The following is a 24,571-nucleotide window of genomic DNA, read 5'->3' as shown; positions in this document are numbered from 1 at the left end:
GTAACTTTTAGAACATATGCTGGCTTACCTTCAAGTTAGCAGGTTAGGCCTTTTACTCTGATCAAGCTCAATTTTCTAGCCTATTAATTGTAGAGGTTAAAATATTCTTTGATTGAAGTTTGCATGTTGGATACAACTGAAAAAAAGTTCTTTTTTCTTACCCTATAAACCTGCTATTTACAAAGAATTTGATTCAAATCCAAGGGTTAATTTGGATTTAAAACACTAATCAAGTTAAGGACAGAGATAAATTTACATCACAGTGAATGCTAGAAAAAGCCCACTGAAAATGATTGAATGTCTGTATATATCCAGATGTATGCATCCATATCTAGATTTGTAACTACACCATGAATCAGACATTACTAGCTTACCTTTTATTGTATTTAAAACTATAAATACTAATGTATATAAAGCTATAATTACATTTATATTTATAGTTTTCAATATGCTTTTCATATATTCATAAATACATCTTTGGTAAAATGTCCTCAGTTAGGATATTAAAGCTACCTTCCAGAACAGAACACACACATGCGCGCACACACATACACACACAGCATCAACCCAGGCAATATGCCAAAGTGTAGTCTCTGTGAAAAAGGTTTTGCTTCAGGGCAATAGCAAACTAACTCACCACCCTGCTGCACTGTCCACTCCTCACCACATTGTTCTTTGCTGTATCCTTAACTTCCCCTCCTACAGTGAGGAAACATTTCTTTGGACTGTTTTATTGCCAATACATTTTTTACTTTGTATCATGAAATGAAACAAGGGACTGGTTTCATTAGAAGGAGAGGTAAACAGAGCATTAATTAAATTTGCTGATGATACTAAATTGGGAGGAACTGTGGACATCTGTGAGGACAAAAGAATCATACAAATGGACTTAAGGAGTTTAGAAATACGAGCAGGAAATAATAAAATGAGATTCAGCTTTAAATAATGCAAGCTGATACATTTGGGAGAAGATAATCAGAAACATGGCTATTCAGTGGATGGTAGATGCCTGGAAAGTGGTGATGGTGAAAGATTACCTAGGGGGTGATAATGGGAAAAATTATACACAAACTTACAAGGAAGTAGGCACAATGCCTGAAGGTTTATATAAAAAAGAGCATAATATTTTGAACCAGAAAGTGGATAGTGCTATTCTTATGACACTGGTCGGTCTCAAAAGCATCAAATTTGGCTTTAGTTAGTCGAATCCCTCAGTTTTATGAAACAATTTAACATTATTTGTTGAGAGACTGGTTTCTCCCTATTAAAAATGAGAAAGTATGTTTTGTCTGAAACCTGTATTGGACACAAAGGTCATTGCCCTATTTCCGTCCTATCCTATTCAAGATTATTACAAATATGGTATGTCATACTGGTCTACATATATATCATGCCCCCTGGAAAAACAACAACAACAACAACAAAACAAACAAAAAACAAAACCCTTACTTTCACTTTTAAGGTAATTTCTTTACATTCTGGATAATATGACTTTACGTTATGTTTAAAGAGACATTTAATCATTGTCTCTTCTAGCAGGTCACTGAATCGTCAATCTGTAAGCTTTGTTTCTCTAAGGATAGAGGCATGGATGAGTGGATAAACAGAAAGCTTGGATAATATTTGTCTCTTCATCCATTTAATCATCCATTATGAATTGAGGCCCTATCATATGCCAGGTATAGTGTGCTAAGCACTGTGGGGACGGGGTGATCCAACCATAATTCCTAGACTCAAGGACTCACACTCTAGATAGGGAAACAGATAATGAAACAAGCCATTGTAGTTCCAGGCAATAAGGGCTCTATTAGGAAAAGCAAAGCTGTCACTGGAATATTGTGGAGGAAGGGGCTAATGATGTTCAAGAGATCATGGCGGGATGGTTATGGATTTAAGTTAGAGAATATTCCTTGGAGAAGGTGATTCTTGTGATATTCACAAGAAGATGAATGTGAATTTGGCAGATGGATAAAAAGGGAGAAAGAAAAGCATGGGAAAGGAATAGGCCATTAGAAAAATTCATGTACTTGGTATTCCTGGAGCATAGAAAGCAGCTTATAAGGATATGAAGCTGAACAGTAGACAGAGGTCATATGCTTATCCTTTTTTATGGGGGTAATTAGTGTGGAATTTTGTTTATCCTTATGAGATCAATGAATCATTGGAGGATTCTAAGAGGGGATAACACAATCTTATTTGTATTTAAGAGGGATCATTTTGGCAGCATTGAAAAGAGTGGCCTGGGCAGAAATAAGAACAAAGGCAAAGACCTCCTTAGGAGATTTATCTCAAAAGGAAGTATGGAGGCCCAATCAAGGTCACAGAAAGTGAAAGGAAGAACCAGATTCAAGAGATAGTAAGAAAGTAGAGCTCATGAGGCTTGGTGAATGATTCTGTCTGTAATGAGAGAGAAGAATCTAAGATGTCTAACATATTTCTTTCTAGGGCAATGGGGAATATAGATTGTAATGCTGCGGGCTGAGTTAAGAAATAAAATAGGAGGAACATCTTTGTTGGGAAAAGTGATGAGTTTAGTTCAAAAAAGTTCAGTTTGAGGAGACAGAGGGAAATTCAAGAAGGGTTGTTTCTAGACCATGGATCTGAGTGGGAAAAAAACAGCTTGAGTAATTATTTGCATATAGGAGCTCTGAAGTCATTGAAGGGCTCACTGAAGCTTTAGGTATAATTGAGATCACCCTGAGAAAACCAGTAGCATGAAATGTCAGAGTCAATAATTAAATCCAGAGGAAATGAATGTTTCTTATGCTGTCAAACTCTAGGCCAAACACATGGACTCCAATATTAGACTATGTAATATCAAATACATCGTCAAATGCCTACCTTCAAGACAAAAGGAAGAAAAAAATCTCACTGTTGTCGTGACAATACCATCTGTTAGGTGTGCAACTGTTCTATAGGGAGACTAAAGAGTTAGTCATCCCAAACTGTCAGAAAATGCAAAATATAACAAGAACAACATCATTTTAAAAGAAGAAAGACAACAGTCCAATTTTAATAACATTGGTATATTCAACGTCTTTACAGAGCTTTTGATAGCAACAGCAGAGTTTAACTTTTTTTTTCTGCTAGGAAGTAAATTTGGAGGAAATGAAATCAATATCCAATAGCAAAATCATGTATTCTGTCTTCATTAACTTCAAATTGATAGATCCTGTGTATTGACCATATATTTCTTATTTTAATTATTGGACAGTCTCTATCAACTCAAAAAAATTATCATCCAAATAAAAATTTCCTGAGAGGTACATGGAAAACAAACAATGAATCAAGAGGGTGATATATTCACAGGGAAGTAAACTAATACAAAACAGCACTAACATGGCATTCCAAGTCTGAATTAAAGGAAAAGATGTGGGGCTTAACTTGCTGTGTGGTTATGGGAACTGAGCCTAAGCCTGACCATTCTCAGGCATGTCAATTACAAGTCATAGTTACCATTCAGTTACTTGATTAAAAACAGCAGGCTATTGGAATTGAAACAATGCCTAATGGGATATGACTTCCTCTGATGAAAATGAGTAGAGAATGGATATTTTAGTAGTTGCTGATGGTTAACTTAAATGGAGTATCCAAAAATCGATGAAAATAAAATCATTAAGGAAACCTAACTTCAATTGTTTAGCATAGCTGTGTATTGATAGCAAGAATGGTACCTTATTGAACAATATGATATACTCTTATCAGAAATGAACTTGTTTAAATGTTTAAAAAGTGGATTTACAGACCATGTTATTCTCTGAGCTGCCTTCAACCAACAACTGTTGGTGATTGATCTTTTTATACTATCAACTATATGCATCGGTAGCAATGGTGTGCAACTCTCCAATGAGGATTTCAGCAATGTTGAATATAATTTATCTGATTATACACCATTTACTGAGAATTCATTATGTGTTAGGTACCATATGAGAAGTTGGCTTATACACGAGGGAGCACATCATGTACTTAATATTTTAAATATTTTTCTTCTATAAGATATACTTACACCCTAGATATAGGACATTATTATCTTCTTAAAAAAGAGTGTGTATTTACATATTGGGTCTCTGGTCTACTATAACCTCAAGAATTCTTCCAGCATTATCATTTCAGAGCTATTTTGGTTTTGCAGAGTTAGGTTTTTTTCTCAAAGTGTCCAGCCCTTGATTTTTTCCATTTTTTTTTTCTGAACCAAAAATAGGAAGCGACTTGAAACGTATAAAATCAGGCAAAGAGAGATAAAACAAGAAAATAAATGATTATTTTGAACCCAAGAAAAACATCTTTAACTGTATAGCCTACTCGTCTATAAGATAACCTCCCAAAGAATTTAGAGGAATCTCTAAGACATGAGTCTTTTAAGGAAATGGGTAAAAAGTTCTAAATATCCTGTACAAAAAAATATGTCATGTTCATTCATATAGACCACTGTAATTATTTCACCTGGAATCTGTATGTCTCTTTTACCATATATGTGTAGACTAATTGATTAATGCTTAAATTGAGTATACAATTTGAAAGTATAAAAATCCCTTGGAAAATGTCATTTTTTTTGGTATAAACTTTAAAAAAGAACATCATGCTTTAGGAAATCCACAAAGGAGTATAATATTTGGGTTTCATTTATAGCTTCCTGAATTAATTTGGTTTCTTAATTATCATTAATTTTTAAACCCTAGGGAAATACCTACACAAATACAATGTATAGATTCTTTTTCTACCAGTAAACAACAAATTATTTCATAAAACAGAGTGACACTGTTGTGAAAGTTGATTATTTTTAATCAATCAGTTCATATTATGGGACAAGAATCAAAACATTTCTACTGAAAAGCTACAAGTCAGTTTTTGAATGCTAGGGCAAAAAAATCTGAAAATCTCTGACTGCCTTATTATTATTTGCTTCTGCTTTTTGAAAACCTGAAAGCTTTCCAAATGCATGCAATTTTTTCTCAAATTTTGTAAACATTTGCTTCCAGGCTAAAACATCCTGCTAACTTTCAGCCAAGATTATTTTTATGGTGGAACTCTTAAGTTCTGCATATAGGGCCTTGTAATGGGAAAACTCCCAGTCCTAGAACTCCCACTGTGTAAATGACACCAGTATAGGCTATTTGAGAGTATTGCATCTTGGTAAGTTGAGGTGTTGCATTATTTAAATTCCCCATACACAATAAGAAGCTAATTTCCTAGGGTCTTAATTTTGGCTCTGTTCCTTCCAACTGACTCCAAGGGAAAAGTATGTTAAGAACCTAAACTTTACATTGGGGGTGGAGGTTGGAAATTAGACTCAGGCTGTATCTGGGAAGCGACATTATTTATTCTGATGCATTGTGGATTTTAAAGTGTGGGAATATCCGCTGACTGATTTGACCAGAGCCACATTGCTGTATTTCTTAGATAGCCTCTCTGGTTGTTGAACTGCACGTTTATTCCTACATTAACTTCTGTTATGTTTAAGCTTTCTTTTTGATAATAAGACTGTCATGCATTGCTAGACATAGATAAACTCTGTTAAATGTCACTAATAAATATGTGAATTAATTAATAACCAGCTCCGTATACAGAGTTTGTGAACATTCAATGCATGCCATAAATTGCAAGGTTTAAGTTTCAAGCATTTTCTTGAGCATAAGTAAGTTTCTCTGGAACAGCAAAGCAGGTATCAGGTACCTATGGCAGAGATGGCAATGTTTTCACTAGTTTGTCTTCTCTTTCTTACAGACCTCACAAGCATGTCCTCTTATCCACATTTGTTTTCTTAATTGCAAAATGCAGCTTTTCCCCCGCCTCTCCACCTTGTCATCTCTGATTTCTTTTGGTTGTCTTTTCCTAGTTTCTCTTTTATACTCTTGCTGGCTGTTTCCTGTTTATTCTTTTTTGATTTTGTCTTCCCCTCGAGCCCTAAATGTGGCTTTCTTACAGACACAGAGGCCCCAGCGTGACTACCCCAAAGAGCCAATTCCAGCTTGGACCCAGCACAACACTGTGCTGTCAGGAAGGTGGCAGTCTTTGTGGCTGCATTAAAACAAAACAGAACAAAACACAAAACACCAAAGCACTAAACTGGTCTTAATTTTAACTCAGAAAAGCCAAGGAGATTCACTGCAAACTTTCATGGAGCTTCTTTAAGATCACCTCCATTGTAAATGCATGCAGATGCCTAACATAAGGCATGAAAAGCAAACACTTAAAAAAAAAAACAAAAACATAGGTCACTGACCTCAGAAACATTTTTGTTCAGTCCACAAATATTCTCCAGGGAAAAAGAAAAAGTGCTTATCTTGTACTCTTGATTTTTTTTTTTTTTGGAGCATGTAATTTTTATCAGTTTGTTTTGTTTTTGTTACTTTTTTTTACTCACTGCTTATAAAACTAGCAAGCAGAAGTCTCTCTGGAACAAGATAGAATCATAAAAGTTTTCAAGAATCTCATCACAAACTTAACAGTACAAATTGCACATTCTTCATGGAAGTATCAGCCTTTAGTGCGTGCCTGGATCCAACTATAATAGATTATCCCAAAGTGGGAAAGAATGAACAGTATAAAATTAGCAGAACTGGGAGCAGAGCTTGTCTAGGGAAGGCAATATGATCTGCAGTTTCGGGGCCTGGATTCAAAGGCAACGGGAAACAACTATGTAAAGTCTGATTTTTGCAAGTAAGCACTCGGTAGGATCTCAAGAGGCAGACTGGTGCACTGGATCAAATATCAGGAAAATTATATTAACAACTACAATGCTTGCTACTATACTGTACAATGGGTACTGTACAATAGCTGTATTAACATGTCTGTTATTTATATAACACATTCATGTGCATATGCAAATGCAACATGTATATGGCAAATATTCATGTATTTATTTACATGCCAAGTTTTACATTTTTGTTAGATAAGTATATTACTGAGTTGAGTAGGTGTCCAGCCACGCTTTCTCGTGATATTAACACACATATCCAAATAGTCACATAATTAAACAGGTTTCATTTATAATGTCACAGGCTTGTTAATTTCATATTCTCTCAAACTTCTCCTAACAGTAGAGGAATTACCAAAAAAGAAACAGTTAAGGTATAATAATAATTTTAGCCATCCTTTTTCCAAGTTGCTATAATCTACCCAAAGATAACTAATTGTTCAAAGTAAACATTCCACTCAGACCACAAAAGGAATCCATTACACAAACATATAATTCACAGTCATTTTTAGTGGGTTGTAAACAGTTTGGAATGAGCATAAAATGGGACAAAAATCAAAGTGAGCATTTTGAAATGAAAAAGTGTTTGCTACAAAAGGTCAGTCCCTTTGCTTGGCAAACTATGTAGAAAAGCCTGGGAAAATGCTGATCACACAAGCAATGAGGGAATTTTAAAGCCAACAGCCTCCTTGTTTCTTTAAACAGACATCGGAACCTATAACTGGATCCTGTCAAACAAACGACAGCAAAAAAAATATAACAGCTGCTAAGAAGTCAAGTTGAGAGATAAAGTTTTTGAGGCTAAGGACCTTCTCAGAAGTAGACTAAAGGTCTTTCTTAAATCTTTAAGCAAGGTTATGGATCCCAGGGTGGCTTTTAGGCACCAAGTCAAATATGTAACTTTGTGTACCATTCCTGTCATAGTATTTCGTGTTCCAGAAAAAAGACAGAAAGGGCAAACTTCTTGTTGATTAGCATCTGCTGAGGCATTCTGCAAAGTTGCTTATACCTGGAATTATCACATTTGAAAAACATGATTTCATTTTAAAAAAATTGTGGTCAAAAGCATATGACATACAATTTCTCTTCCTAATCCTTTTTAAGTGTATAGTTCAGTAATTCTAAGTATATTCACACTGTTGTACAATAAATCTCTAGGTATCATTTTAATGTTTTAAAATAGTTTGGGTACATATTAACCAGAACCGGGAATCATGAAGGAAGTATGAGTTAAGACATATTCCAAATGAATGCTAATCTAAATTATATTACAAACTTAAAAAAATTAATGTTATTCCCTTAAAACCAAAAAAATTTTGGATCCATAAAAATATCTTTAGGGTAGAAATATGCTCATTTATCTAGTTAACACTACTCTTATATAAAATATCTATTTGGCAAAATGCATGTTTGGTATTATTGGGTAGAAACATGACTGGTTCGCCACTTAAGGCATGTCCTTTTAGATCTCACACCAAAGGACTCCCTATATCACATAGTCACAATGTTAAGAAAATAACTTGCAAAATAAGGCAAAATTAAATGTCTCCTGGTCTTATAATGAAGATAAAACCAGATAAATATGTGTTTATCGTTCAAGGTTTATTACATCATTTTTAAACACACGTATTTCCCTGCTTTTTATTATTGTTATGGTTCTTCTGTCTTGTAGGGTCTGTTCTTTTCTCTCATAGTACTTATCACAGTTTATGCTAACATACATAACCGTGTGTGTCTGTTTGCTTAATGTCTATCTCCTCTGTATTATCAGCTGGTAACATGGAAGATGACACAAAGTAGGTACTCAATAGCTATTTGGCTTCGATTGCTTCATTTAACCAATATTTATTGAGTACTTACAAGGTGTCACGTGCTGTATAAAGCTTCTTTCCAAATAATGGACCTCAACAAAGGATAGTCAATTACATGCTTTGCATAAAAAGAACTATGAATTAAGGTCTTACTTGTTATACCAGTTTAAAATATATACTTTGTTTACTTCAGGTCTCCTAGGCCCTTCTATCTAAGAGACACAGGTGATCGCATTTTTAAGTAAGCAATTTCTACACATATGACGTCATCATAAACTACACAAAGTGTTCTATAACATAGTGAAAAATGAACTTCTCACTGCTTGTATCTACTATATGTCACAATGCCTTCCTCTACATCAAGCTTTCCCAACCCATGGCCCAGGGGTTTTAATGCAGCACAACACAAATTTGTAAGCTTTCTGAAAGCATTATGAGATTTTCTGCATTTTTTAAAGCTCATTAGCTATTGTTAGCGTTAGTGTATGTAACGCTATGTGTAGCCCAAGACAATTCTTCTTCTTCCAATGTGACCCAAGGAAGCCAAAAGATTAGATACCCCTGCTCTACATGCTTGTTTCCTCAAACCTCCAAAATAGTGTCAGATGATCTCATGCTTTTGGTCATTGTACCCAGGATATGAATTAAGAATTAGCAGAACCGTGTTTTAATATTTTCACAGAAATTGCTTCAAAAAAGAAACATAAGTTGAGTTTTTCATTGGCTAATTATGATTTCTCATATACATGCTCTACGACTATAAAGGCAAGGCAAGCGGGAAGGAACCACTTGGAAGAGCTTTAAAGACTAACATGCTCCTTAACAGTTTGTCTTCCAAATTTTGCTTGTATTTTCAAGGCTCAGCAGACAATGTCAGAAACCACAGAAATGAAGTTAATCTAGTTATAATAGTTGGTGAGAAGGAGAATGCTCTGGTAGTTTAGAGTAATAAAGAGAACCAAATCAAGATAAGGAAACATACTAAACAAGTTATTAGCTAAATTGGTTCACATTCAGTTTATTGGTAGATTTTCTTCTAGGCATGTCCAAAAGTTGCAAAATTTAAAATGTAACTAATATCACTTTACCAGGGATGAATAAAGAATGCATCTTTTGCCAAGTACTGGGTAGAATTTCCTTGGAGAGACTACAGAAGTGTGAGCAATTTGGCTCTGTTCATTACAAACAGGTAAGACAAATAACTGACTGACTGACTGGATGGATAAATGAATGAATTAATGAATGAATAGTGAGATCTGCCTTCCTGATAATGTTTCATTTTAAATCATCCATCTAATAAGCATTTTAGAGATATAGCCACAATTTGTAGGTTTTTTTAAAGGAGTAAAAAATAATCACAAGAAAAAAAAAGAGAAGGAAACAAATCTTTTTTATAACAGCCAATGTGCCGATGTAGTGAGTATCAAGACCATTTCCCTAAGACTGTGAGAGTAAACACATAGTTTTCATTAAATGTTCCTTTCCCATAACTGGTCCATCAGCATTTCCCATGACTCTGCAGTTGAGTTTCTTGGCTGGGAGAGTATCTGGCCATTAGAAGGAGGGATCCAGATATGCTGAGTCCCAGCCATGCTGAGAGACTTGGCGCCTTTATATGCTACTTCCTAATACCAACCCCAGCATAAAATGTCATCAGAAGCCTGCATAAACATTGGACTTAGATTCACATAAATTATTTCTGTCCTGAAATGCTTTATGCCAGAATTTCGTAAAAACAACACTTTGAGTAAATAGAATTGGTGTATAAATATAAGAATATTAATCCAACAAAATGATCATAGAAAATTATAATCAAAAGTACACACTTGTAAATCTTGCAATGATGTGAGAGGTTTATCTTGTGCTTCTTAGTTTTTACTGAATATTTCCATAGGGTTCCTTTAAGCTGATGCTGCCAAAGTGCTTTGAATTATCAGTTGCTTTGTGGAATTGGAAAGTCTTTGAGTTTCATTAAAATGCTTAGGAATTATTTTAATAATCATATGTGTGATTAGCGCCTGTTTAGTGCTGGATCTACAAATTCATTTTAAGAGTAAACACAGGGACAATGAAATATAATGCTAGATGTGATTGCTCCAGTCAGCAAAAACATTGTCTTATTTTATTAAAAATCACCAACAAAATGCCATGAACAAAAGACATGGTTTCTATTTATAGACGTTTTCTACTCTGCAATATTATAATATCTGCACACCGCAAAGCTGCATCTAGCAGTTTTTCGTTTTGCCTAGGGTGGAGACATAAATCGGGAGGAATGGAGCGCTTCTTTACACATGCACACATCTTATTATGTGCTTCCCCAACGCCCTATTTGGGTTTTTGGTCTAATAGTGCTCACACTGTCAGGGCTGAGTATTTATAAGTGGATGAAGATTTCCTGAAAATGATGACAATTTAGTTATTGGAAATAATAACTTTATAATATTCTCAGTGATCCATTTTGTCTTTAAGTACTTACCAAAGAATATTTATTCCTAAAAATGTACTTATAAAATTAAATGAAATTGCAACTTGCAATAAAAACATTTTTCTCTAAACTCCAATTGACTTCATTTCTCACAGATACCTCTCCTCATGTTCATCCTGCAGTTGCTGCTTTCTACTCTCACTGTACTCTCTGCTCTTCTCTCTGATGTGTTGATATGCTTTCCCCAAAGTCATTCTCTTTATCCACATTCCCTACCCACTCTTCCCCTTCTTGTTATTCTCTCATTCCCTACTGATAGGGGAATAATAGGATCCCAAGGCTGTCCTTACAGTATAATTAAAGTATGAATTTCCAGGAGTTAGAAATTGCAGACCATTTTTATTATGCTTTTATAATAAAGCCAGGTAACACTGAGAGAATTAAAATGGCTTTTTCCTAGTAGATTATTGGGTAAAGATTTTTTCCCCTTGGTTCTATTGTCTTAAGAGACTAGGAGCTGGAAATGGGAATAGGTTCACCAATCCTTTTTTCTGAAAACACCTCTATCTTTTACATGATATATATCCCCCTAGATCCTGGGAATATGTTGTAAACTTGTAACAGATGGTGATGAAGCCTTGCATTTTTATACAATACATTTTTTAAGATTCTGCATCTACTATATGTATCTTCCAGGAAAAATGACCTTGAATGAATGAAGTCATAGTTTGAAGGAAAAACACCCCACAGATAGAGTGGAGTAGAAATGATGATTCAGTTGGGTTTTGTTTTGTTCCCTTCAGTAAGATGAAATAATTTCAGAAGAAAAACAGAATGCTGAAATAGAGGAATCAAAGGTCATCTTTTGAGGTGTGTCTTTTAATTGTTCCTGAAAAAACCCGTTAGCGTATTCTGTACTGAACAGAGACATGTGGAAGGTGGGATATCACTGTCTGTGATTCAGAATGCTATTTGCTTAACTTGGGTAATGTTGGGGGCTTACCAAAAATTGTTCTGGCACAACGTCTACCAGCATGAATGTTAGGAAGGTTCTAACACTGTGAGTGCTGATATTTTATGAATGTTTTATCACTGGCTTGAAAACAAGAAGTTTGCACTTGAATCAACAGTAAGTCAGACAGACAAAATATTAAAAACAAAAAAGAACATTAGTGAGAATTACTAATGTCCCTATTGTAAAAACAAACTGAAGTTAATAAGAAAGATGATCCTCTTAACCGATTAACACAAGTCAAGTTTTAATTGCATGGCTTCTCAGACAAATCAGGTGGCACTGCTAACTTGAGTATTGGTTGTGTAGAGGGTGCAGTAATGGGGGGAACTGCTGCACATTCAGTCACCCACCTCTTTTCTCAACAGCTTCAATGCATTGCTTTACAAACCACGGAACTGTGGAATTTTCACGTTCACACACTTTGTGCAGATGAGAGCCAAAAATTTGATCTGCAAAAGAAACAAAGATGAGCTTCATTAAAATCCAAGCTTGCGTTGTTCTTTAATTTGATTCCGTTTCCATATCCATTGCATGCTGAAATCTTCATCTTGCATAAGATTTTTTTTTTGCTTTATTTCCATAGTGTCTATGGCAGACATATGAAGACCACAACTCCCTCCTTGATGGAACAGGACCCTCGCCCCAGAGTGAGAAAACTGACGCTCAGGCATCGATTAGGCAGGGATGACTATGTAAGTTATAGTCTCTCTGGGCCTTAATTTTGTGGTCTATAAAGGAAAGACAAAGAATTGAGAAAATTTTTGCAAAATAATTTATCTTAGTGTCTTTGGTATACTGAGTGTTTTAGAAGAAGTTTACCAGTTAATGGTTACGAAAATTACAATGTTATCAGTATATTTAGGACATTCATTCTGCAACTCAATAGTATATGAGGAGGCAAGTTCTAGGAGACTTGCTTCGAAGTGAATTACTTAGCATTTCTCCTGCCTTGAATGCCCTTCCTCTTCTCTAATCTAACTATCACCTTTCCTTTAGGGCTCAGTTCAGATCACACTTTCTTCACTAACTCCTTCCTATCTCAGCTTTGTGTCTCCTGTGACACAGGTTCTTTGGAATACCAGACCCTCAGGCTGTTAATAGATGATTCAGGAAAAAGGGCCTGCGAACAAAATGGTTTCACATCATTAGGTTCTGCAAAGTTAGACAGGTTTAACATGCATTTATTTTTAAAGCCCATGATATGCCAATGTGTGCTGTGAATCCCCATGAGGGGTGAAGGATGCATTTTCCCCCAAACTTATTTGAGCAACATCCTTTGATTTCAGAGAGCATGTCTCCAGACTAATGTTTCCGAGAATACCCACTGTGAAATCCTAGCCTAGCCCTCTCATTTGGAACATGATTGACGCTACCTTGCATTGTGTATTTACATTTATAATATATGGAATAGATTCTCTCAAAGCAGATTCTGAGTGTCTGAATCATCTATGTCTTCACCAGTGCTTGCACAGACTCTGGCCTGCAGTATTTAAAGACAGATGTTTGTTTTTTATAATTGTGGTAAAACACATATAACATAGAATTGATCATTTCCACCATTTTTAAATGTACCACTCGGTGGCATTAAGTACATTCACAATGTTGTGCAACCCTCACCACCATCAATTTCTGGGTTTTGCTATTGAGATAGTATCTGTTTATTACTGATAATGAAACAAATATTTAGTGGGTCCAAGGGCTTCCCATTTCACTCAGAATGAAATCAAAGTCCCTACTGTAACTTATAAGGTATTACATAATCTGACCTCCACTAATTAATGGATTTCATTTGGGTCTTTCCTCCCCGTCTTTAAATTTGTAATAGCCCCACATTGCTGTTTCTCATGGCTGCCAAGCACTCTTCTGCTGCAGGGACTTTGCATTTTCTTCTTCATGGAACTCCATTGCCTTAGGTCTCTGATCAAATGGTATCTTCTTATTGCAGCCTTTCCTACCAGCCTTTAAAAAAATGGCTCCACTCCATGCCATTCTCTATGCCACTTTCCCAGCCTTACATTTCTTAGAGCACATATCTCCACTTGACATATGAGACTGAAATGTTTTCTGCTTAGCTGTTTCCCTTGCTTAGAAGGCAAAACCCAGGAGAGTAGGCGTCATATCTCAACCATTTATTATTGGATCCTGAGTACCTAGACAGTGTTGGCACATACTAGAAGTTCAATAAACATTTGTAGAATGAGGGACTGCAAGACATCATCTTAACCATCAGTGGAGGTAGTCAATACATTTTTTAAAGTATATGTAAAATTAGATAGAATAATAATGCAGCATAAAATAATGTTCAGTGATATATATTGTTATAAGGGGATACTCAAAATCGAGTGTAGAGAGAATTCAATGAATCATAATTTTCATTTATTTCTTAGGAAAACATAATGGTTTGAATTGGTGACAACCCAACATGGAGGGAACAATTAAAGCTAAAACACTATTAATAATATACTCCAGGCCGGGCATGGTGACTCACACCTGTAATCCCAGCACTTTGGGAGGCTGAGGTGGGCGGATCATGAGGTCAAGAGATTTAGACCATCTTGGCCAACATGGTGAAACCCCGTTTCTATTAAAAATACAAAAATTAGCTGGGCATGGTGGCGCGTGCCTGTAGTCCCAGCTACTCAGGAGGCTGAGGCAGGAGAATTGCTTCAACCCGGAGGGAGAGGTTGCAGTGAGCTGAGATCGCGCCACTGCCCTCCAGGCCTGGCAACAGAGTGAGACTCCATCTCAAAACAACACCAACAACAACAACAAACAAAAACAAAACTCCAATATGGAAATGTGCATTTTTATCCAAGTAACAGAAAGAAGCTCAAAACACATGGACATAGTATAGAGAAGTGGGAAATAGTAATGGGCATTTGCTTTGAATACTTTGGTCAAGTAACAATGACTTGTTCAAAACACTGTGTAACCACTCCAAGAAAGAATGACATAAAATATTATCTAGGAAAAAATAACCCAGTAGATCAGATCAAATGATTTACATTGTCTGGAGATTACAGTCAGGAAGAAGAATTGCTATAAAGTAAAAAACCCATTAATGGATTTTATTACTCAAATCAATTTCACAAATATTATCTTCTATCTTCACAGCAATGAGGTAGGCATATTGAGTTGTAAAAACAATATCGAGAAGTTTGTAATATTATAGGGGGCTAATAAAAGTATTCAAAGAATATACAAAAAAAAGAATATAGCAGGTGTCATAAAAGGTACTGAATGCTAAGAAAAATGTCCTTTAGTATGAGGTCTTTTTGTGTCATTTAGTGTAGACGTGGTGTGCAGTGTGTGTATGTTTGTACAACAGAGGGTGGGAGAGAGAGAGTTTGTGTTTGGAGAAATTGTTTTGTTTTAGACAGGTGGATATGAGAAGATACAGACAACAGCATTCCAGGGAATTTACTCTTTTATTCATTTAGTTATTTGCAAAAGAACATCTTGAGTGGCTATACTGTATTTAGAGCTAGGAAAGGCTCTGGTAATATAACAACCAAGACTCATTCCCTATTTTCTAAATCTTTGCCCAGTAGAGGCAGTATATAAGTAAACAGGTAAGAACATTTTATCATGAGAAAACTGCTATAACTGGGGAAACGCAGAGGCAATGTGGGAGCATGTGGTGGGGCAACAGATCAGCCTTGAGTGCTTCCCTTCTCTGAATAACTGAATCCTCAAAGATAAGGAAAGACAAGTAAAAGAGGGAACAAAGAGCATTTTCGGGAATGAAAGGAAGGAAACAAATGCATGAATGATGGGAAGAATGATAGGAAGACTGGGGTATGCCGAGGAATACATTCACTCTTAGAGAAATCTTGATGTATTAAGTTATAAAAGAGATGGAGGTTATGTTATAAAGCATCTTAAATCTTGCCAGGTAAGTTAAATTATTTGAGAGTGTGCAGATACCATTGATTTTCTACATATAAGTAATTCCTCTCCCACCTTCTTTCTTGTTTTTAGAAGCCACTCATATGACAGAAAGTGAAAATCATCTCTATTGATTTTTACCTGCTCTGCAACTTTGGGTGATTAGATAGCTCTGGTCAATGAAATGTCTAGGAAAGTGACTCAGGACTATATAGCAAAAGATTTGTTTCCCCTGAAGAAAGGAAAGGGATATATAAGAAGTCTTTTTTCTTTTTCTTTTAATCCATCTTTGAATATCATTTTGCAATGATGTGATGCTTGGAGCTATTGCAGCAATCTTGTCACCATGAGACAATGAGTGCTAAGAACAGCAGCTAATGTATTAAAAATAAGCAACAAAACTTGAGACCCTGATGACACTTCTGAGCTTTTAAACCAACACTAAAACACCTTATCTAGACTTATTTTCATATGAAAGAAGTCATTTTTAACTAGGTATTCTATTATCTGCAGCCAAAAGCATATGACATGACATTAGGAAGTGATTGTGGTTTTTTAGTAAAGTGATCATTATAATCATACTCTACTTGAGAAGGTTTACTTGGTAGCACTTTGTAAAGAAAAGGGAGGGTGGGGGGGTTAATATAGTGGGGAAGATGAAGCACAAGGAGATTAGTTAAACGACTGATGTGATTACCTAGGAAAGATGTTACGAAGACCAGAATCAGGATAAGGGTGTGATAGGTGTAATCACTGTGCACAATCCTTCTTGTCTTCTCTGAATTAGATGTATACATTCACCTCCTTTGCCATGGAACCATCTCGTACCACCCAATAGAGTGTGCAGTGTTTATTTTCCCCCATTTCTTTGATATTGGGCTCGGCCAAATGTCTTCTTTGGAATGATGTGAGTGGAAATGTGTCAGTTCCAGACTGAGGCCTTAAGACGCATTGCAGATTTCTACTCATCCTCTTGTTTCTCTGCTATTGCCAAAGAAGAGCTTCCCTGGGGAGCTGCTGCCCCTTCAGCCTGGGCTCCAGAATACATACATATGGCACAGAACTGAGGGCAACCCTCAGTGAAGAGACAAGTCCAGTCAGACCTGCAGCTTAAAGCAGAGTGGCCCAGTCAAGCCTGCACCACAGACACATGAGAAATAGATGCTCGGTGTTATATGCCACTGAGATTTTATGTTTGTTTGTCATGTAGCAATAGCTTACTCACATAGGTGGTGATGAGTCCAGGTTTTTGGTGAAATATGATCTAAGCTATGCTGTGAGAATGAAAACAAAGAGGGTTGGCAGGACATGGAAACTAAAACTGGAGAGTGAACAAAACAGAAAAAAAAGTTCTAAATTTGCTAAGAATGTGGAGTTATGCCTTCAGTTTAATTTCAATCCTCAGGAGGAGTCTCAAAGAAAATTACTTTCACCTTAAAATTTAAATTATTTATGCCTTACCAAATTTTATGGCACCTCTTCTGCATTCTCTCCAGATTAACCCAATTCCATCCAATTCCATTCAGTGACTATTTAGTGAACACCTACCATGTGCTCCATATTGTAAATAATGCAAAGATTGCTTTATTCATTCAGTAACTATTTCATGCAGGTTATAAGCCAGACACTGTGTGCCAGCCTGAAAATGTAATGATGCACCATCTCCTACAGTTTAGGTGGACAGAATAACTGTCACAAGCAGCTACAACATAATATGACTAATGCTATTGCAGATACGTGTAAAAAAATAGTGAGGGTTTATTGTACACTACACTAAGCCAAGCAGGGCTCAAAGTACTTTATATATTCTAACATTTAATTCTCACATGCACCTGCAATCCTTTGAGCGTGTATACTATCATCATCTTCATTTTACAGAAGAGGGAACTAAGGCCCAGAGATATTGAGTTATTTGTGAAAGGTCACAGAGCATTAGGCTCTTGGGGGAGGGAGGATGGGGACCCGAACTAAGACAATAAACCTGTCATGGCAAGAAGGAGTGATTCAGTCGGGTTTGGCAAGTGGGTGTAGGAGGTGAGCTGATCCACCAGGTAAAAGTGACTGCCAAGTTCCTTGCTTGACTGGAGAAGACAGAGATGCAGTTACTTGAGGGTCTTGAGAATGGAAATGGAATTTAGACATTAAGGAAAAGTATTTCAAATGCAGCAGAATGGTTATGAGAGATCAAGATGAAAAATGTTCGCTGGATTTTGGCAATTTCAGGATATGAGTGACCTTAAGAAAAATGGTTTCAGTAGAGGAGTGAAACTGAAAAGCAGATAGTTGTAATTAAGACTTGAAGAGAAGGTGAAGAAGTAGAGACAGCAAATAGACTCCTATTTTAAGAACTTTAGAGGTGAAAAGGCTAGCATATGGGGACTACTTAGTTATAAGTGGAGATAAGACCTGGAAGAGGATTTTGAATTGGGATGGATAGGAGAGAATTTCAGCTACAGGGTATTTTTTATTGCCACGGAGCTGGGTGAAGTACACTGCTGATTATTTTTAGCGGTTATAATGTTGGAAGTGGGGGAGGTACATTACTGCCACTTACTGGTGGTCCAGGCAAGTGCATCCAGTCCCTCACAAGGGAAAAACTGCCATTGGTGTCTTGGTGAGTAAAGAGCCTAGACATCTGGAATTTCACTAGCTAGAGGGCAGATGTTTGCTTTCCCCAGTTACCAGCAAAGCCAAAACTGTTCTTCTCACTTATAGCCTCTCTTGAAACTTGCTGTACTCACCCAAGAAGGTGGGGCTCTGGAGTACAAGAACCTAGTATCTCAGGTGAACTTGGTTACATCAAAGGTCACCATGTGCCCCAAGCTTGAACAAAGCAACGCTTCTTCTACAAAATTTAGAATTTGGATACTGAGAGACTGAGGTGGTTGTTTCTAGGGATGAGAACTCTAGGCTGCCTACACTTAAACCCTGGGGGCTGGGACAGCCAATTTGGGAAGATGCTTATGTGCCGCAGATGAGCGGACACAGGAACTAGTTTGCAGGGAGAGGCAAATGGAACAGATCCAACTCAGCTCCTGACTTTCCAGTGCCTACTCCAGGCACTCTGTATCCTTGCCATGGCACTTGCCATACCCATGTCATGAGCTCCATAAATACCATGAGATCCCCTCCCACCCATTTTAATAGAACTCTTGAGTAAATTTCTGTTTATTGCAAGCAAATACACCTGGCAAAAATATGGATGTAGCATTGGACAAACGTTTCAAGAAAGGGATTACAGTCACAACAGGACCAGGTCTGGCAAAATAGCTCAATGGGATCCACTGCTTACAGATGACACTGGCTAGGAAGAGTATGGTAGATATCAATTGGTTTTGCTGGTCCTGTGTCTATCCTCCTATTCTCTGGCAAGAACACCCTGAGATTCCCTTGGGGATGGTCCTTTCTCATTTTGCTGCCATTTGTTTTGGGTAGTGTTGACTCCACCCTCTCCATCTCCAGTGACGAATATGCATTTTATCTTCTTGGCCACAGTAATTGGTTCAGGCATGAACATGTGGCCCAAGTGGATCCTGTCAAGTAAATCCTGAGACTTTTTCTGATGTTACTGGGAGAGAGGAACCCTCTTTTTATGAGAGATATTAAACTATGAAGATATGAGTCTGATCTTCTAGACGCTATGCTGCCACCTCTGGAAGAGTGGAAAACAGAGCTGAGTGATGGAAGACAAATATATTTGATAGCATTTTGAACTCCTAGATCCAGTCATGCCTGAAGCTATCCCTGTCCCTTGGACTCTTCAATTAAGTAGCTAGTAAATTCCATTCTGACTTTTACAGTTTGGACAAGTTTCTGTCATTTACAGTGGAAAGAATGTAGACTACAACATTAGCCCTTGACAGACAATGAATTAAATAATTGAGAAGAGATGATAATGCACATCACATGGCTTTGCAAAGTAAATAGTGCTGTCCAAAGAAAGGAAATCAGAGATTTAACTACACTGTCATTGTTGAATTTAAGTGCTGTGGTAGGATTGCTCTCCATTTGTAAATCTAATACACCTAGAGTTTCATACACCAAGGAGGACAATTCAATGATAGAAATCCATTTGAGCCATGGAAACTTCTATCTTAAAATAGTATAAAAAAAGGGAGGGAGAGAAAAGGCATTCTGCTTTCCAGGCAAGCATTAATGAACTTTGTCCCCTAAATGCTCATGTCTCTTGTCCTGGAACAACATTAAGGATTATTTCTACTCTCCTCTTCAAAAACAAACAAACAAACAAACAAACAAAAAAGAACACTTCCAAAACCCTGAGCTCCTGACTTCCCACCTATATTCCCATCTGTGTGCTTACTGGTAATCCTTTCTTCCTCACTTAACAACCATAAAAATATGCATATTATTTAGAAAGCACCTCTTGCTAGGGGTGCCAATATTTTTGGAATCTTCTGCAAACTCCTGTGACCTTGGCCAGTGTGATCATTCTATCTTCATCCCACCGTTTCAGCACTTAATGATCAGGGGTGGCAGGATATACATTGATTGGGAAAAAAAATTCATTTTCTGCAATTTTTCTTTGAAAGCATCTTTTGGTGAGAAAAATAAATAGACCCTCCACATGACTGCCCTTATAAATCATGTTGTTTACATAATGAATTAGTGTTTAACTAGAGAATGGTGGTTTTTAATCTTTAAGCTCTCAAACTTTTTGACCGATTTTGTTAGTTCATCAGCATAACCAGGTTAAGTCTTCCAGATTACAAATTAGTTTCATTCTCCCTCATCACTGCTATAAGTTTTTTGACAAATTATGGAAAGAACACCCAGTAATGGGATCTCTGTCAGTCAGATTCCAAATGAATCAAAACTATGAGGACAACTGCTCAATAGAGGCAGTTAAATGTTCAAATAATGTGACGGTTTTATCATCATTTATGCAGGAGACAGTCTCCACAGGCTTTTCAAAATGATGTGACTCTGCTTTCAGGAGAGAGGGCCATTGCAGCGATTCTAGTAAACTTCAAAAAGGAAGAACAAAGCACCTAGAAGGACACACACATGCGGAACACAGAGCGAAGCAGAAAACAATAATGGCAGCCCAAATGGCTTAGTCACAAAAACAAATCAGACAATTATCCAACTATCGTGGTAATGACGTATATTGATTAAGGTTTCTGGCTGCAAGCAACGGAAAAACACAACACTGTGGCTGTATTAAGCAACGGAAAGTTTATTTGAATGATGTTGAGGGGTGGAAGTAGGAAGGAATTCAATGAATTTATGAGAGGCTAGGGGACCAGTCTTGGAGATATTCAGAAATGAAGATGCTTAGCGGAGCCATGAAATTGGAAGAAGGAGAAAAAGCGACTGTCTTCTAACTCTGGTAGCTGGGTCAGGGTGCTCATTTCATGGCCACCACCAGCATCAGCATTGTCATAATAACTTCCAGTCATCAATCGCTCTAGACTGGAAGTTTCTCTAGATGATGCTTCATTGATCAGGATTATGTTATAAAAATAATGGGTGGGGAGAGAAAATACAGCCCTCGTAGTTTCCATAGTAGGTAGCATTCACTTAGAATTTTTCTCCCACAGCAATGCCACACATATGGGCAGATTATTTCCTACTAAGTTGCTATAATAGAGAGGCAGCGGATATTGGAAGACAAAATCGTATTCCAAACATGGGTGATTTCAGCAATTTAATAATTCCATCTTTTGATTTTAAACTATAAATTACATTAGTTTTTCCTTTTGAGAATTGGTTTTCAGCCCAAAACTTTTAGATTGCTTATCAAAGCATGGTGTTTCTATTTTTTTTTTTTTTTTTTTTTTTTTTTTTAAGAGGGAGTCTTACTCTGTCGCCAGGCTGGAGTGCAGTGGTACAATCTCGGCTCACTACACCTCTGACTCCCTGGTTCAAGCGATTCTCCTGCCTCGGCCTCCTGAGTAGCTGGGATTACAGGCATGCGCCAGCACACCCAGCTAATTTTTGTATTTTTAGTTGAGATGGGGTTTCACCACTTTGGCCAGGATGGTCTCGAGCTCCCGAGCTCGTGATCCGCCTGCCTCGGCCTCCCAAGGTGCTGGAATTATAGGTGTGGACCACCATGCCCAGCCTCTACTCTCATCTTTTATATTTTCTCCAGTTCTGTTCCCACCATCTTTTCTTTTCCTTTAAAATGCTCACGACATGAGCCCCATGTCATGTAACTTTCCCAAAACTTTACTGAGAATGTTTGGAGAACTGGGTGACTTCTGTTAGTGCTATAGGTTATGGAATGGCCTATGTTTTTGAATTAAGACACAGAAAAAATACGCCTAATGCTAAAACACGACAGAATATACTGTAAGTGCTTCAGGAGGTACTGCGTTAACTTATGATGCTTTGGGGCTTTGATTAGAAATATCGGTTGCTGCTTTATGTTACATAGATATCAAAAATTGGGCCGATTCTCTGCTGAATCTACGACATGCACTGGAAGTAAACCTCTCTCATTGCCTTGTTTACTTATTTTTTTTTTTTTTCATAAGAGGCAAGTACAAGAAAAAGCTTAATTACTTTAACTTCTAAGTAGTTTGGAATCTAAATAAATAGGAGTTACCAAATATATGCGCTTCTGTGAATAGTTTTCCCCCACATGTTTATTTATATTTTTGCATCTCATCAAACCTAACAGATTCTAAAGTCTCTGGTGATAATGACAATATCTGCTACGGAGAGACTAGCCTGGGGGAAGAGGATCTCCCCGAACAAGGATAGCGGAGTTGCTGCAGCTTTCAAATGAAGCTGGACATTTAGCTGCGGGGGTAGCACCCTTTGATCAAGGCAGCCCAAAGATGAGTTTCAGGGATGGGACTGACAGAAGAGAAAAGTTCTTCCCAGCCCTTTCTACTTTTTCTCTTTGTTTCTCAGGCTTCTGGCCGTCTTCAGTTTTCATAGTTTCACTCTCAACCCTAAACAGTACTTCTGTGAAGTACCCTTTGGCCCCTCGTTTTCAGCTCCTAAACTCACCTGGAAATAGATGTCAATCTAATTTTGGTCTGACTAGTGCAGTAGGCATTTTGGTGATTACACCAGCCAGGAAGAAATTTGCATCTTAAAGAGTTATTAACCAAATGGGACACTGTGCGCATGAAATTCTTCTATATTTGTCTACTCAAGGCAAGAACTTTGTCAATACTTTGTACCTATCTCTCCCACCCTCTGCTTATCTAAAGCAACATCACACACATACACACATGTACGTCAGCACACAGAATCACAACGGCATAGAGAAGGGTTTCACCAAGTAAATCCTTTATGCATTTTTGGATTTATCCATTGAATCTAACCATCTATGAGTATTTTTCAATGCCCACTGGGGATGGAGTAGTGAAAAGAACACTCTCTGTCTTCACAGAGTCTATATGTAAATGGGGAAAATAAACATGAAAACACATTAACATATAATGTCAGATGGTGATAAGCGCTATGGAAAAAATGAAGCAAGGCAGAGAGACAGAGAGCTATTGGTGTTGCCAGGGAAGGCATCTCAGGCAATGGCATCTGAGCAGACACCAAATGAAGTGACCGACTGAGCCATGTACATACAAGGGGAGCAGCAAGTGTATAAAGCTGCTGGTGTAAGCCAGGTTCCTTAGAGGAGGAGCAGGAAGGCCTGAGTGGCTGGAGTGGTGTGAACAAGAGGAAGTATGGCTGAGGAAAAAACATAAAATGTAGCCTCAGGGTCAAAGCAGGTAGGACCCTATAGGTCACAGGAAGGACACACATTAGATATTAAGAATGAGTTTCTTCTAAGTAAATGGAGATTATGGAGGAGGGGGGGGTGACATGATATGATTTACATTTATAAATGATCCTTCTAATTGCCGTGTGAAGCCTAGATTTAAGGGGGTTAAGAGGAGAAGTAGGAAGGCTCATCAGGGGGGTAGTGAAATATAGGAAGAGATGATGGTGCTTGGGTAAGAATGAATCCAATGGAAGTAATCAAAAGTGGTTGAATTTAGAATATATTTTAAAGGTGGGATCTACTGATGAAGGAAGAGACAGAGTAGAAAGCGGGGGTGATCCCAGGTGGCACATGGCAGTGATATTTCCTGAGATAGAGGACACATGGGATCTGAAGAATCAAGGATTACTCTAGATAAATCTGAGATATGTACCAAGCACCCCAAAAGACATGAAATCAATATTTGAATATGCAAGTCTGAAGTTTGAGACTGATGTTTTAAGTTTGGAAAGCATCAACCTCTAGATGGAATTCGAAGCTGCATGAATGGTATATTTCAACTCTGAATGTTTAATGTCCAATAGTCTGAGAATAAGAATGAAATGAGAAAAGAAGTCCAAGGCCTTAACATAGGGGTAACCCAACATTCTGAAGATGGGGAGAAGAGCAGGATCCACCAAAGGGGCACTCACTGACATGAGAGTTTCAATAGGAAGTAATAAGAAGCTGTAAATAATAACTCTAAAACCACTGCAAGATTTCATGTCCAGCTTCATTTCCTTATTTCTTTCTAACTCCTGGAAGTACGGAGTTCAGTAAAATAGTATCTGGTCTACTAGATACAGCTCATAATCCAGTTGAAAGATATTAAAATAATGAAATTACAGCTTTTGGATAAAGAGAAGGTAGGACTAATTGAGAATGAAGAAGAAAGGGATAGCTTTGTGGCACTGGTAACTGAGTTGGAAGAGTAAAAATGATTACAATTTTACTAAGTAGAGGAAGCTACAAAATGATATTCAAGGTCAACAAA

At 37.2% G+C, this 24,571-nt stretch overlaps 1 protein-coding gene across 13 annotated transcripts in view; it reads right to left on the bottom strand.

Moving 5' to 3' along the window:
- The window catches only part of ARHGAP15 (Rho GTPase activating protein 15), a 638,934-nt gene that overhangs the window by 236,687 nt on the left and 377,676 nt on the right, over window positions 1-24,571 (bottom strand). For all 13 annotated transcript variants that reach the window (XR_007078554.1, NM_018460.4, XM_017004500.3 and 10 more), the window contains one exon: window positions 12,302-12,400. Coding sequence is in view for 12 of the 13 variants with exons in the window: in NM_018460.4 (NP_060930.3) it covers window positions 12,302-12,400 (99 nt within the window). In the remaining variant the exon portion in view is untranslated. The remainder of the gene's footprint in view (window positions 1-12,301; window positions 12,401-24,571) is intronic.

This window comes from Homo sapiens, chromosome 2 (assembly GCF_000001405.40).
Source record: "Homo sapiens chromosome 2, GRCh38.p14 Primary Assembly".
Classification (NCBI taxonomy): Eukaryota; Metazoa; Chordata; class Mammalia; order Primates; family Hominidae; genus Homo; species Homo sapiens.
The sequence above is the reverse complement of the archived record's forward strand: the minus strand, read 5'-3'. Positions and strand labels throughout refer to the sequence as shown.